At 42.2% G+C, this 12,763-nt stretch overlaps 1 protein-coding gene across 4 annotated transcripts in view, besides 6 other annotated features; it reads right to left on the reverse strand.

The window, feature by feature from the left end:
• The window catches only part of TXNL1 (thioredoxin like 1), a 41,384-nt gene extending 34,513 nt beyond the window's left edge, over positions 1 to 6,871 (reverse strand). For all 4 annotated transcript variants that reach the window (NR_024546.2, NM_004786.3, XM_024451289.2 and 1 more), the window contains exon 1: positions 6,622 to 6,871. Coding sequence is in view for 3 of the 4 variants with exons in the window: in NM_004786.3 (NP_004777.1) it covers positions 6,622 to 6,719 (98 nt within the window). In the remaining variant the exon portion in view is untranslated. The remainder of the gene's footprint in view (positions 1 to 6,621) is intronic.
• Positions 5,923 to 6,908: an enhancer, noted in NCBI's record as "NANOG-H3K27ac-H3K4me1 hESC enhancer chr18:54304875-54305860 (GRCh37/hg19 assembly coordinates)". NCBI's record gives its function as "activates a minimal SCP1, AML or CMV promoter by ChIP-STARR-seq in primed H9 embryonic stem cells {active_cell/tissue: H9 hESC(primed)}" and the evidence as "EXISTENCE:reporter gene assay evidence [ECO:0000049][PMID:30033119]".
• Positions 6,690 to 6,749: an enhancer, noted in NCBI's record as "active region_13363". NCBI's record gives its function as "activates an Ori minimal core promoter by ATAC-STARR-seq in GM12878 lymphoblastoid cells {active_cell/tissue: GM12878}" and the evidence as "EXISTENCE:reporter gene assay evidence [ECO:0000049][PMID:35858748]".
• Positions 6,900 to 7,109: a silencer, noted in NCBI's record as "silent region_9476". NCBI's record gives its function as "represses an Ori minimal core promoter by ATAC-STARR-seq in GM12878 lymphoblastoid cells {active_cell/tissue: GM12878}" and the evidence as "EXISTENCE:reporter gene assay evidence [ECO:0000049][PMID:35858748]".
• Positions 6,900 to 7,893: a biological region, named in NCBI's record as "NANOG-H3K27ac-H3K4me1 hESC enhancer GRCh37_chr18:54305861-54306845".
• Positions 6,909 to 7,893: an enhancer, noted in NCBI's record as "NANOG-H3K27ac-H3K4me1 hESC enhancer chr18:54305861-54306845 (GRCh37/hg19 assembly coordinates)". NCBI's record gives its function as "activates a minimal SCP1, AML or CMV promoter by ChIP-STARR-seq in naive H9 embryonic stem cells {active_cell/tissue: H9 hESC(naive)}" and the evidence as "EXISTENCE:reporter gene assay evidence [ECO:0000049][PMID:30033119]".
• Positions 10,037 to 10,331: an enhancer, noted in NCBI's record as "tiled region #10710; HepG2 Activating DNase matched - State 6:EnhF". NCBI's record gives its function as "activates a minimal TATA promoter and a strong SV40 promoter by Sharpr-MPRA in HepG2 cells {active_cell/tissue: HepG2}" and the evidence as "EXISTENCE:reporter gene assay evidence [ECO:0000049][PMID:27701403]".

The raw sequence follows: 12,763 nt of genomic DNA on the forward strand, positions 1-12,763 counted from the left end.
CCAGCCTAACCAACATGGTGAAACCCCCGTCTCTACTAAAAATACAAAATTAGCTGGGCCTAGTAACGCATGCCTGTAATCTCAGCTACTTGGGAGGCTGAGGCAGGAGAATCGTTTGAACCTGGGAGGCAGAGGTCACAGTGAGACGAGATTGCGCCATTGAACTCTAGCCTAGGCAAAAACAGCGAAACTCTGTCTCAAAAAAAAAAAAAAAAAGGAACCCACAAAACTAAAACTTTAAAACAGACATAACCTAATATAATTAACCAGTAAGTAAGAAGTGAAGATCATAAGATGACCTGCCCAACACCAAACATCCTAGTTGGCGGCAGGGCCACCACTAGAACAGGCAATTCATAAATATAATCCAAGATCAGCTTTCTTTGAAAGAGCATTAGCTTCTTTTTAATACACTTTTTACTACAGTCATAATATAAAACAAATTCCATTTCATGAACTAGCTAACTGTCCTTCCCTTCAAGATAAGTGTCTTATCTTGAGCAACAACTTGTGTCAATATACACAACTGGTAAGTGGATAATATGCTTTCTAAAGCCACAGTTAAAGAATTTTTTTTTCTTTTTTCCTGCAGGGTAAAACTTTAAGCAATTTATACATGTGCTATGTTTACTAATCGGCAGGCTTAATCACAATTGGTATTATTAATTACATAAAACAGCTAGCATTCATTGGGCACTTACTGTATGTTACGCATTCACAAACTCATGTCACCTCATTTAAGCTTTATGACTCTAAAAAACAACAAATTAGTAAGTTTAAATTAGATCCCAGAACCCAACTCTTAACAGCTATGCTAAAAAGTCCAAAACAATGTCCTACACAGTGCCTTTCATTGTTATTTCCAAATCAATTGCCAAGATTAAACTGTGTTAACACTCTTGAAAGGTAGCCAGACAAACTACATAACTGTATGATTCTGTTTCTATAAAGTTCAAATACGGGCAAAACTGATCTATAGTGTTAGAATTCAAGAGTAGTGGGAAGAAGCTTGGGACAGTGCGAGGAGTCCGGAGTTAATGATCTATTTCTTGCACATTTTTGTATATTTGCACTTCAATAAAAAGTTAACAAATAAAGCAACTCTGTTCTCCAGGGCTTCAATATGCCCTAGTCTTACAGCTACTTGCTAACGTTTTCTGCCTGGTTCCTATGGACTACTGGGCCTGCTTACTCTGTACTTCAATAAACTTCCTTCAGTTATCAGTAATTTTGCGGTATGTAATTAACATATGTTTAATATACAATTATTTGGACAAGCTATTGTAACTATTAGAACTCAACATCCTAATATACACTGACATCCTTCTTAGATTGTAACAAACCCTAACAAACTACAAAGGCAGATCTGCTTTAAGAAAATTCAATGTATCTCCAGCCTAAGCAACACGACAAAACCCCACCTCTACAAAAATTTTAAAACTTAGGCAGGGCACGGTGGCTCACGCCTGTAATCCCAGCACTTTGGGAGGCCGAGGCGGACGGATCACGAGGTCAGGAGATTGAGACCATCCTGGCTAACACGGTGAAACCCCGTCTCTACTAAAAATACAAAAAATTAGCCGGGCGTGGTGGCGGGCACCTGTAGTCCCAGCTACTCGGGAGGCTGAGGCAGGAGAATGGCGTGAACTCGGGAGGTGGAGCTTGCAGTGAGCTGAGATTGTGCCACTGCACTCCAGCCTAGGCTAGAGAGCGAGACTCTGTCTCAAAAAAAAAAAAAAAAAAAAAAATTAGCCAGGCATAGTGGTGCGTGCCTGTAGTTCCGATTACTGCTGGGGCTGAGTTGGGAGGATTGCTTGAGCCCAGGAGGTCGAGGCTGCAATTGAGCCATGATCACATCACTGTACTGCAGCCTGAGCAACAGAGCGAGACCCTGTCTCAAAAAAAAAAAAAAAAAAAAATCAGTGCATGGTAAACATTATCTACAAAAGTGATACATTCATCAATTCAAGATAAAAACCATTGGCTGGGTGTGGTGGCTCACACCTGTAATCCCAGCACTTTGAGAGGCCGAGGCGGGCAGATCACGAGGTCAGGAGTTCGAGACCAGCCTGACCAACATGGTGAAACCCCGTCTCTACTAAAAATACAAAAATTAGCCATGTGTGGTGGCGCATACCTGTAATCCCAGCTCCTCAGGAGGCTGAGGCAGGAGAATTGCTTGAACCTGGGAGGCAGAGGTTGCAGTGAGCTGAGATCATGCCACTGCACTCCAGCCTGGATGACAGAGCAAGACTCCATCTCAAAAAAAAAAAAAAAAAAAAAAAAAATCATTCACACTGTTTAATGGTGGGGAGGGGGGAGACCAGGGACAACGAACGACACAATGTATATTCTTTTAACTCTTTAGTAACAACAAAACTGGTACTACTCATAACCACTAAAATGTATCTGGGCATAAGTAACAATTTGGAGACACTGTTTAAAAATATTACCAAAAAGAATATCAGAGAGTGAAATGAATTGCAGGCAGAGGTGTAAATTATTTAAGGAAAGGCATATTGAAAATTGTCAGGCTCTGTGCAGATACACAGAGATGAACGTGCATTTCTTTTCTCCTTAGGCTGGAAAGATCAAGAACAGCACTTTATAATTCAAACGATGCATTTATTAACGGGACCTTAAACAAATTATTTAACCTCTCTGTGACTCAATGTCCTCAACTGTAAAACAAGGATAGCTGTTAGGGTTATTCTGAGGAATGAATTGAGTCAATATAAGAGCTTAAACAAGTTCCTTACACAGACTAAGGAATATGTAAGCGTTGACTATTTTAATCCTTAAAAAATACTCTGGGAAAAGGGTGCTGATCATTCAATGAGGAAAAGACAGTGTTTTCGATAAACGGTGTTGGAAAAATTGGATATCCACATGCCAAAAAATGAACTGGACCCTAACTTTATGACATATACCAAAATTAACTCAAAATGGATCAAGGACCTAAACTTAAGAGCTAAAACTATAAAACTCTTAGATGAAAACATAGGGAGAAATCTTCATGACATTGAATCTTGCAATGATTTCTTGAATATGACACCAAAAGCACAGGCAACAAAAGTATAGATAAATTGGACTTCATCAAAATTTAAAACTCATGCATCAAAGGACACCATCAAGAAAAAGACAACCCAAAGAATGGGACAAAGTATTTGCAAATTAAATATTAACATCCGGCATATATAAAGAACTCCTGCAACTCAACCCAAAAACAAACCACTCAATTCAAAAATGGGCACAGAAGGCCCAGCGCAGTGACTCACACCTGTAACCCCAGCAATTTGGGATGCTGACGTGGGAGGGTCGCTTGAAGCCAGGATTTAGACCAGCCTGGGCAACAAAGTGAGACTTAGTCTCTAAAACAAAAAATAAATTAGCGGGCATGGTGGTATGTGTCTGTAGTCCCATTTACTTGAGAGGCTGATGTGGGAGGATTGCTTGAGGCCAGGAATTCAATGCTGCAGTGAGCCATCGTCTCAAAACTGCACTCCAGCCTGGGCAACAGAGCAAGACCCTGTCTCTAACAAATAAGAAAAAAGAAAAGCAAGCAAGTAAGCAGGGATCCCCGCATAGCAATGTCCCCTAGCAGCATTATCCACAACAGCCAAAGGAAGACACAACTGGAATGTCCATCAAAAAATGAACAGGTATACAAAATTTGCCATATAAATAAATGGATTATGTTATGCAGTTATAAAGAAGAATGAAATTCTGAGACATACTAAGACATGGATGAACCTTGAAAATACTATGCTAAGTGAAGTCAAAAACAAAAGGACAAATATTGTTACGATTTCACTTATATTAGGTGCCACAAATTGACAAATTCATAGAGACAGAAAGCAGAATAGAAGTTACCAAGGAGGTAGATGGGGAGGGGCAAATTACTGCTTAATGGGTACAGTTTTGTCCCTTTGGAGAAGTAAGGATGGGGAGTTATCCTTTAATGGATATAGAATTTCTGTCTAAAGTTATAGGAAACAGTGGTGATGGTGGCACAACATTGTGACTGTATAGTCATGTCTGGGTATCTGGGGGATTAGTTTCAGGACCTCCAGCAAGACACTAAATCACAGATGCTCAAGGGCCTAATAGAAAATGACATGGTATCTGCACATAACCTACGACCATTCTCCCATATACTTTAAATCATCTCTAGATTACTTATAATGCCTAAGGTAAATGCTATGTAAATAGTTGTTATACTGTATTGTTTAGAAAATAATGACAAGAAAAAAGTGTGTACATGATCAGCACAAATGCAATTTTTTTTCTCCAAATATTTTCTATCCACATTTGGTTCAATCCATGGATACAGAGGGCTGACTGTCCTTAATGCCAATGAATTATACTCTTACAAATGGCTAAATGGTCAATTTTATGTTATATATATTTTATCATAAGCCACTAAAGATTCTTACACAGGAGAACAATCTATGTATCATTTTAGTAAAATTTAGACTGAGAGTGCATAAAGCATAGAGGTTAAAAAAAAAGAAAAAAGGTTTAAAATAGGGTTGGAAAGGAAATGAAATAGGTGCTGGAGAAACTATGCCCTCAGTCTAAACTGGGACAGCATTAACTTTGATCTAAGAGGATTCTTACAAGATTTTACTGAATACAGTTGTTTCTGAGTCTAATACTGACCCGTCATATACATAATTCTGGGGTTCTATTGACAATGAGTTTAGACAGGATGTATTAATGGCCAATAAGTTCGAGGAATATTAAAGGTAAATACAATAATCTTACCAGATTTGTAAACGTAATATAAATATGCTTTTGAACTTACTCTAAATCCAAACATTAATTTTCCCTCGGTTTTTACAAAGAAAAAAAATTTTAATTCCACTAAAATACCTTTTTAAATGTAACAGTTCCTTACCAATCAATGTCTGCAGTTATGCTTATGCTTAAGTGACACCACACTGATAGAAAAAACCTTCCTTCGCAGCAATGTTTCCCCAGTTTTCTCACTTCAATCAATATTTATTTATTATTTTATTATCTCTCCCACTGCTATGGTAAGGGAGAAAAACAATATATCATTGAGGGACAAAAATATAAAAGCTTCGACGGGCCAGAATTAGAATAAGTGAACTAAAAGTGAGGTGAGGTTCCTTATTGAAATCCTATCTTCCCTTTTCTACTGTGGCCTAGATACTTAATGTACTACAGGTATTCCCCTATTATTAAGAATACAGACATCACAAAATTGCTAAAAATGAGAAGACACATTTATAGAATTCTAACATTCCTTTTAGGTGTTTTATATATATGACATCACTTATCCTTTTAAATTTAGTAAATGCAAAATTCCGTATATCATATGGGTACTCTAGCCCACCATATGAAATGCAAGGTACTATCCTTTTTCAATTCAGTGTAAGAGAGACTGGTCCAAAAATAAGTCTTAACTTGTTTTCATATCTATCTGCATCCATTCCCTAAAACGATATAATCCTAATGCCACCATTTATATACTCAACATTTAGTGAACCATCTAGTAGAAACTTTGTTTTTTGCTCTGAAATTCAAAATGGAATTTTGTGTTTATACAGTTATTTGGACAAGAAAGTGTGTTACATAAACAGTGATACCAGCAGTAGACTGCTCCAAGTTAGATGTATAAATAACGCCAAGGGGTCAAGGAAAATAAAGCGGAAACCTCTCATACTTCTAACTAAATACTATCGACATACACAAGGAGAGATCTGTGAAACACACACACACGCTGAAATCTTGGTTCTCAACGCCGAGTTCCAACATGTCATTCTTACAAAGGAACTTTACTACACATCCACTATAAAAGGTCCACCTTTTCTACGACCTATAATTTTGTTGATATTTACCAAAGACAGTTAACATTTTTCAAGATCCCTGTCCTCTTAAGTGAAAAAACAGAGCCGGGTCAAACTAAGACATCCGGCCAACTGTCCACCTGAAATATATTATATATGTACTGTCGTGTGTGACCAGTTGCAATCGCATACATAGGGGAGCCTAAGCTACAAGTTAGTGGCCGAACGAGGAAGAAAAAAGTTCAAATAATTTAAAAAGCACCCTAACCCAACGTTAACTTAGTTCGAAATGCATTAGCAGAAATTCAGGACTCAGAGCTACGCATATTAGTTAGATCGCCCCATCTGAATCTTCAAAGGCTTTAGAGAGATGTAGGTGGTGAAGAGAAACAAAGTGTTCGGTAAATTAAGCTTTTGGAGCTCTGGAGATGCAAATGACAGCTGGCTCTGCAGAAAGAAGGGGTCAGGCTCAGGCAAGGGTGGCTGCGGAGACTCCCACAGGCTGGAAGGAATAGGGGCGGGCCACCCCCAAAACCAGTTTGTCAAAGAATTGAAAAGGAGCAGGTGAGAAATCTCCTGAGCTGGAGAAGCCGGCCAGCCAGGCCCCCGAGCCCGTCTAGGAACCCCTGTGCATAAATGGGGGTTCACACCCGAGAAACGAGGCCTAATTCCGGCAGCTCCTGGGGCTGCGGCGACTGCCGGACACTCCGGGGCAGCAGACGGCTAGGAAACCAGGGCCAACAAAGAGTGAAAGGAAAGCAAGGAAGGACAGACGGGGACCCACAGAGCTCGAGCCTGGCCTCACCCTCTCATGGTGAACTTGACCACGGCGAGTCTGGAGCCCGCGCCGCTCAGCTCTGGCTGGAAATCCGGGTCGCTCCCGACGGGCTTCACCCCCACCATCCTCACAGAGAGCCCGGCAGGGTGGCCGCGACGCCACTGGCTTTGAAACTGAAGGAGAAGACGATCTGGGAGAGGAAGGAGAGATGCTCAGGAAGGCCGAGGCCTGGACAGAAGAGGTGGCGACCGCCGAGTCTTCTCCCGGGACTCTCAGTGCCGAGTCACGCCAGGGAGCGGAGCGGCCGAGGGGGCGGGGAGGGATGGGGGAGGGGAGAGGAGGAGGATGGGAAGGCGTGCGGCACCCAGCAGCCACCGCGCGGCAGGGCCCCCGGCGTGACGTCATTTCCGCGTCGTCCGGTTTGGCCTTCAGCGCCCAATCCCAAAACGCGAAGCGTAGTCCCACCCTCGACTGAGTAGCCTCGCGCTAACTTGAGCGGCGCAGGCGCAGAGGAGACGTGTAGAGGTCACGTGCGCAGGCGCAGACTGAGACTCAAAAGTTGGCATATGCATCCGCGTTTCCCAGATCTGAGGCTTTTACGGAGGAGGTTTCTGATTTGTAACAGTAGAGAGGAAACTCGTTTTACCCCGGGGTTCTTAGCTGCTGTCCAGGGCACCCACTGGAAGTACTTTGAAGATGCTCCTGTACTGTATTCGGGGCAGGTCTACATACAAGACAAAATAACGTTTAGGAATATTTATTAACAGACTTAATTACATATGGGGCGCTTTCTGTGCAGTCATTCAGAAAGTATCGTGCACCTGTCTTTAGGTTTTGACCAAAAAGATGAAGACACTATCCCTCCTTTAGGAAGTTCACGGTCTAGTGACCGACGCAAACAATAATTTGAATAGGAAGCGGTGGAGACTAACGAGATGGAAGGGTGGGGCAGGGTAAACTTGCTAGGAATCTGACTCCTGGATTGAATCTTTAAAGAGAAGCAGGGGTTAGATGGATGGTGAGAGGTAATATTCCAGGCAAGGGGACCACCAGGTGCAAATGCATGAGTTGAGAGGGTGGATAAGAAGAATAGCTAATATTTACCACATGATGTACCAGGCAAGACATAAGTTCTTTATATGTGTACTAGTTCATTTAATCCCTGTGAAGTAGGTTCTGTGATTTCAAGTCAAGGCAGGCTAACGCCAGTGTACTCTTTTAAATATTAGGCTAGGTGGCAAATTATCTGTCTTTGGATTTAGCTGGGGAGATGAAATTGGAGGGAAGGCCAAGGTCAGATAATGACTAGCTAAGGAATTTGGATTTTGTCGGGAAGAGAATGGAAAAATCATTTCAGGGCAATTTTGCAATTACAAGTGTGGTGAAACTCCCGTCTCTACCAAAAATACAAAAAAGTAGCCGGGCGTCATGGCGCGCACATGTGGTCCCAGCTACTCGGGAGGCCGAGGTGGGAGGATTCCTTGAGCTGGGGAGGTCAAGGCTGCAGGGAGCCATGATTGCGCCACTGCACTCCAGCCTGGGCAACAGAGCCAGACCCTGTCTCAAAAAAAAAAAAAAAAGGAAAAAGAAAAAGTGTCTTCAGAAAAGCCCTCAGGTAGCATCAAGGAGGATGGAAGGCAGTGAGATCCATTTAGGAGGATACTGTGGTGATCCAGGAACTAAATTAGGAAAGCATCTGCAGTGGAAATGAAGAGGAAAGAACATGTTTGAGAAACAATTATTGGTCCAATTTAGTGAGATGACAGAGGAATTTAAAATAACTCAAAACATTTCAATCGTGTAGCTTTTTAAAAATGAGTTAAAATGCCTGTAGGACATCCAAGTGAGAGATATAGTAGATCGTGAGAGGGATGAGCCTGGAACTAAAGAAAAAGGACTAGGACGACGTTACAGATTTGAGAGTCATCAGATTGGGTGATAGTTGAAGCCCAGGACATGTGAAAAGAGAAAGCTAAAGGTGTTGCAGAAACATATTAAAATAATTAATTCTTAACTGAACCCAGCCACACCAGAGGCACAGTAATTACATTCCTTTTTCATGTGGTATCAGCACATTGTAATGGTTTTAATAGACAGAAGTCCCCATAATAAATATTTGCTTTTTTTTTTTTTGAGACGGAGTCTCACTCTGTCGTTCAGGCTGGAGTGCAGTGGCACAATCTCAGCCCACCACAACCTCCGCCTCCTGGGTTCAAGCGATTCTCCTGTCTCAGCCCGCCCTGGGTAGCTGAGAATACAGGCACACACCAGCACGCCTGGCTACTTTTTTGTATTTTTAGTAGAGACGGGGTTTCACCATGTTAGCCAGGCTGGTCTCAAACTCCTGACCTAAGGTGACCCGCCCGCCTCGACCTCCCAAAGTGCTTGGATTACAGGCATGAGCCACCATGACCGGCCTTGCTACTTAAATTTTATGGCCATGCACAAACTACTAACCTCTCAGAACCTCAGCTTCCTTGTCTGTGAGCCTTGGATTAATAACACCTGCCTTCTAGGATTGTGATGGTAAAAGGTTATATTGGATGATGTTTATAAAGAACCAAATCATAAGATACTTGATAAAAATGTTTATAAACAGTGGTGTCTATTCAGCTAGTCAGCTAGGGTTGCTATAACAACTCAGTCTTTGGCTATAACAATACCAAAGACTGAGTGACTTAAACAGAAGAAATGTATTTCTCACAGTTCTGGAGACTTGGAGTCCAGGATCCAAGTGCTGCTGGTATTGGTTTCTCCTAAGGCCTCTCTTCTTCACTTTTAAATGGCGGCCTTCTCACTGTGTCTTCACATGGCCTTTTCTCTGTGCACACACACACACATGCACATACAGTACTAGTCTGTTTCTCTTCCTTACAAGGACACCAGTCCTATTAGATTAAGGATCCACTCTGATGACGTCACTTAACTTTAATTACCTCCTTAAAGGTCCTATCTCCACTTAGCGTCATATTGGGGGTTGGGGCTTCAACCTATGAATTTGGGTGGGGTGAGGGAGCACAATTTATCCAGAACAGATGGATTATTATTATTCTCAACTGTCCTTCCAGTTTTGCCTAAGAAGCAAGTAGAAGTGGTCTCCACTACAGCAGCTATAGTAGATATGAAGGGAGGAACAGGGCTTATGAAAGCAAGATAGATTATAGATTCTTGAGAAGCAAGATGAAAAGAGGCATTGTAAAAGTTAGCTCTGATAGAGACACTATGTGTCCCTCCAGATCTACTCTCTACCTTTCTTCCCTCTGCTCTCAGCCCTAGGAACCTGCCTACATGGACTGCATCAATAGGATCCTCTGTTCGAGCTTCTTGAAGAGATTGGAGGGTAGAAGAAAATGAGATCCAGTTAGTAATTCCCTTAGCTCCCTTCCTGCTGTGTTGCCACAGGTTGTCTGTGTCTCCACCAAAGGCCACAGCTCTTGTCATACCATTATCCTCTTTGAGTTCCTGCAAACACTGTCTTCTATTGTCTCTTTAGACATAGAAGTAGAAATCACTCCTGGGTGTTGGCAGCACCAGGATACCAACAGAGAAACTCCGGGTCAGTCACCTAGTGTAAGGAAAATGGATGTGATTTGGTCAAGAATAGGCCAAGGTAAACATCCTGTGTGACTCATTGAGTTTGGAGCACAGACACATAACTCCACTTGTTATATAATCACAGCTATGTAGCTATAACATGGGAAGGCTCATCGCCTGGTTTGGAGGCACTATTGTTTGTAAAAGGTATAACTGCCCTGCTGACACTGTACATACAGCACGGCATGGCTCGACTCATGCCCAGAGAGAATTAAGCTGCTGACCCTGTAAGGGAGAGCTGGCCTTGCAGACCAGGGAATGCAGCTGCAGGCGTGGGAGTGGCAGAGCCGGAGCAGGCAGCCGAGACAAAGACACACAGTGTAAGAGAGCTGCTGAGTAAAACCATCTTTCACCGGCCTATGGCCTCCCAAGTGTTCTTTCAGCTACCTGCCACCCATCAACCTACTCCCTTCAGACCTCAGCATGGGCTGGAACCAGACACTGGGCATGACAGCCTGTTGATGCTACCTAGACCTGACTAGACAAGACAGTACTGAATTGGATAGTTCACATAAAGAGCAGAAACACTTGCCACTGTAATCCCAAGGCAGGCACCCATAGGAAACAGAGGTACCTGGAAGCCATAATTCCTAAATGGACTTCCCAGGCTTATAGCATGAACTATCTCCAGCCACCTAGCACTAGCCTAACTGGTAAGCCCAGATACCACCAGCTAATGGGCAACATCCAGAAACTTCACTCTCCTAATACCAATAAGGATCCTTTGGTTTAAAAAGAACCACCCTTCCCACCCAGAGCATAGTTGTGTGATGAATCTAGTCCCCTACTTTACAGTTAAACTTTTCTACTCACTGCTCAATCCTTGCTGTCATTGTCTTTATTTTCTCTTTAGCAACACCATTGCTTTTTTTTGGGTGGGTGGGGACAGACCTCTCTCCTTCTGTCACCCAGGCTGGAGTGCAGTGGTGCGATCTTGGCCTACTGCAACCTCTGCCTCCTGGGATCAAGCAGTTCTCCTGCCTCAGCCTCTTGACTAGCTGGGATTACAGGCGACTGCCACCACACCGGGCTAATTTTTGTATTTTTAGTAGAGACGGGGTTTTACCATGTTGGCCAGGCTGGTCTCCAACTCCTGACCTCAAATGATCAGCCCGCCGTGGCTTCCCAAAATGCTGGGATTACAGGCGTGAGCCACTATGCCCGGCCCACCATTGCTTTTTTGATTTTCCTAAACTCTATCTACACGTTTGTTAATACCCTCCTTACCAAATTATCCTCGATTACCCATTTTGAATGTGCTTTTTCCTTTTGTGACTCTGCCTGATATAAAAATTTAAGAATTGTTTAACACCAGGGAAATTGGAGGTTAGAGGATTAACATACAGGCTAGAGATAAATATATGAGAGTTTGCAGCATAGCGGTCATAGATGATACCACTAAAGTAGATCATAAGGAAGTATACAGAAAAGCAAAGAGTTACAACAGAAATTTAAAGACAAATACAAATAGGGAGTAAAATGAGAAAAGTTAAGAGAAGCAGAGAATCAGGAGGACTATCACAAAAGTAAAGTGTCAAAGACCAAAAGGATGAAGGATGTCAAAGACCAAAAGATGTGAAATGCCTTTGAATGTAGCAAGGGAGTCATTGGTTTTTATCTGAACAACCCGCACAGTTCAGTGAATTAAGATTGGAATCAGCTCACTGACAACCACAACAAATTCTTCAGGACCTCCCGTATGGCAGGCACTGTGCCATAGCCTCAGAAGTTAAACATGATTATTACATGTTCCTGTCCTTTGGAGTACACACTTTTGTGATAGCTCCATGTCCAGGGGTACGGGCTAAAATGGAAGGCACAGACATGTGATCAACCCATAGTTGTTTCATATATATATATATATGTGTGTGTGTATATATATATGTATATATGTGTATGTATATATGTATATATGTGTGTATATATGTATGTATGTGTGTATATATATGTGTGTATATATACTCACTATGTGTATATATGATTGAATGATGTGTTCAATTTTCAAATTCAAAGCATACAACTAGACAGAGTTTGGAAATTATGAAGCAGGATTTCCTCATATATATGTATATACATATATATTGAGTAAATATACTTACATAAAATTTAGCATTTTAACTTTTTGTTTTTTGAGACAGGGCTTCACTTTATCACCCAGGCTGGAGTGCAGTGGCATGATCATGGCTCACTGCAGCTTCGACCTCCTGAGCTCAACTGGTCCACTTGCCTCAGCCTCTCATGTAGTTGGGCTGACAGTTGCATCCCACCATGCTGAGCAAATTTTTTATTTTTTTGTGGAGACGAGATCTCACTTTGTTGCTGGTCTTGAGCTCCTCGAGCTCAAATAATTCTCCTGCCTCAGCCCTGCAAAGTGCTGGGATTACAGATGTGAGTCACCACACCTGGCCCATTTTAACCAGTTTTAAAGTGCACAAGTCAGTAGCATTAAGTGCACTCACTGCTATCCATTTCCAGAACCTTCTCATGAAGGGATTACAGGCATGCGCCACCATGCCCGGCTAATTTTTGTATTTTTAGTAGAGGCAGAGTTTCACCATGTTGACCAGGCTGGTCT

Source organism: Homo sapiens, chromosome 18, assembly GCF_000001405.40.
Source record: "Homo sapiens chromosome 18, GRCh38.p14 Primary Assembly".
Lineage (NCBI taxonomy): Eukaryota > Metazoa > Chordata > Mammalia > Primates > Hominidae > Homo > Homo sapiens.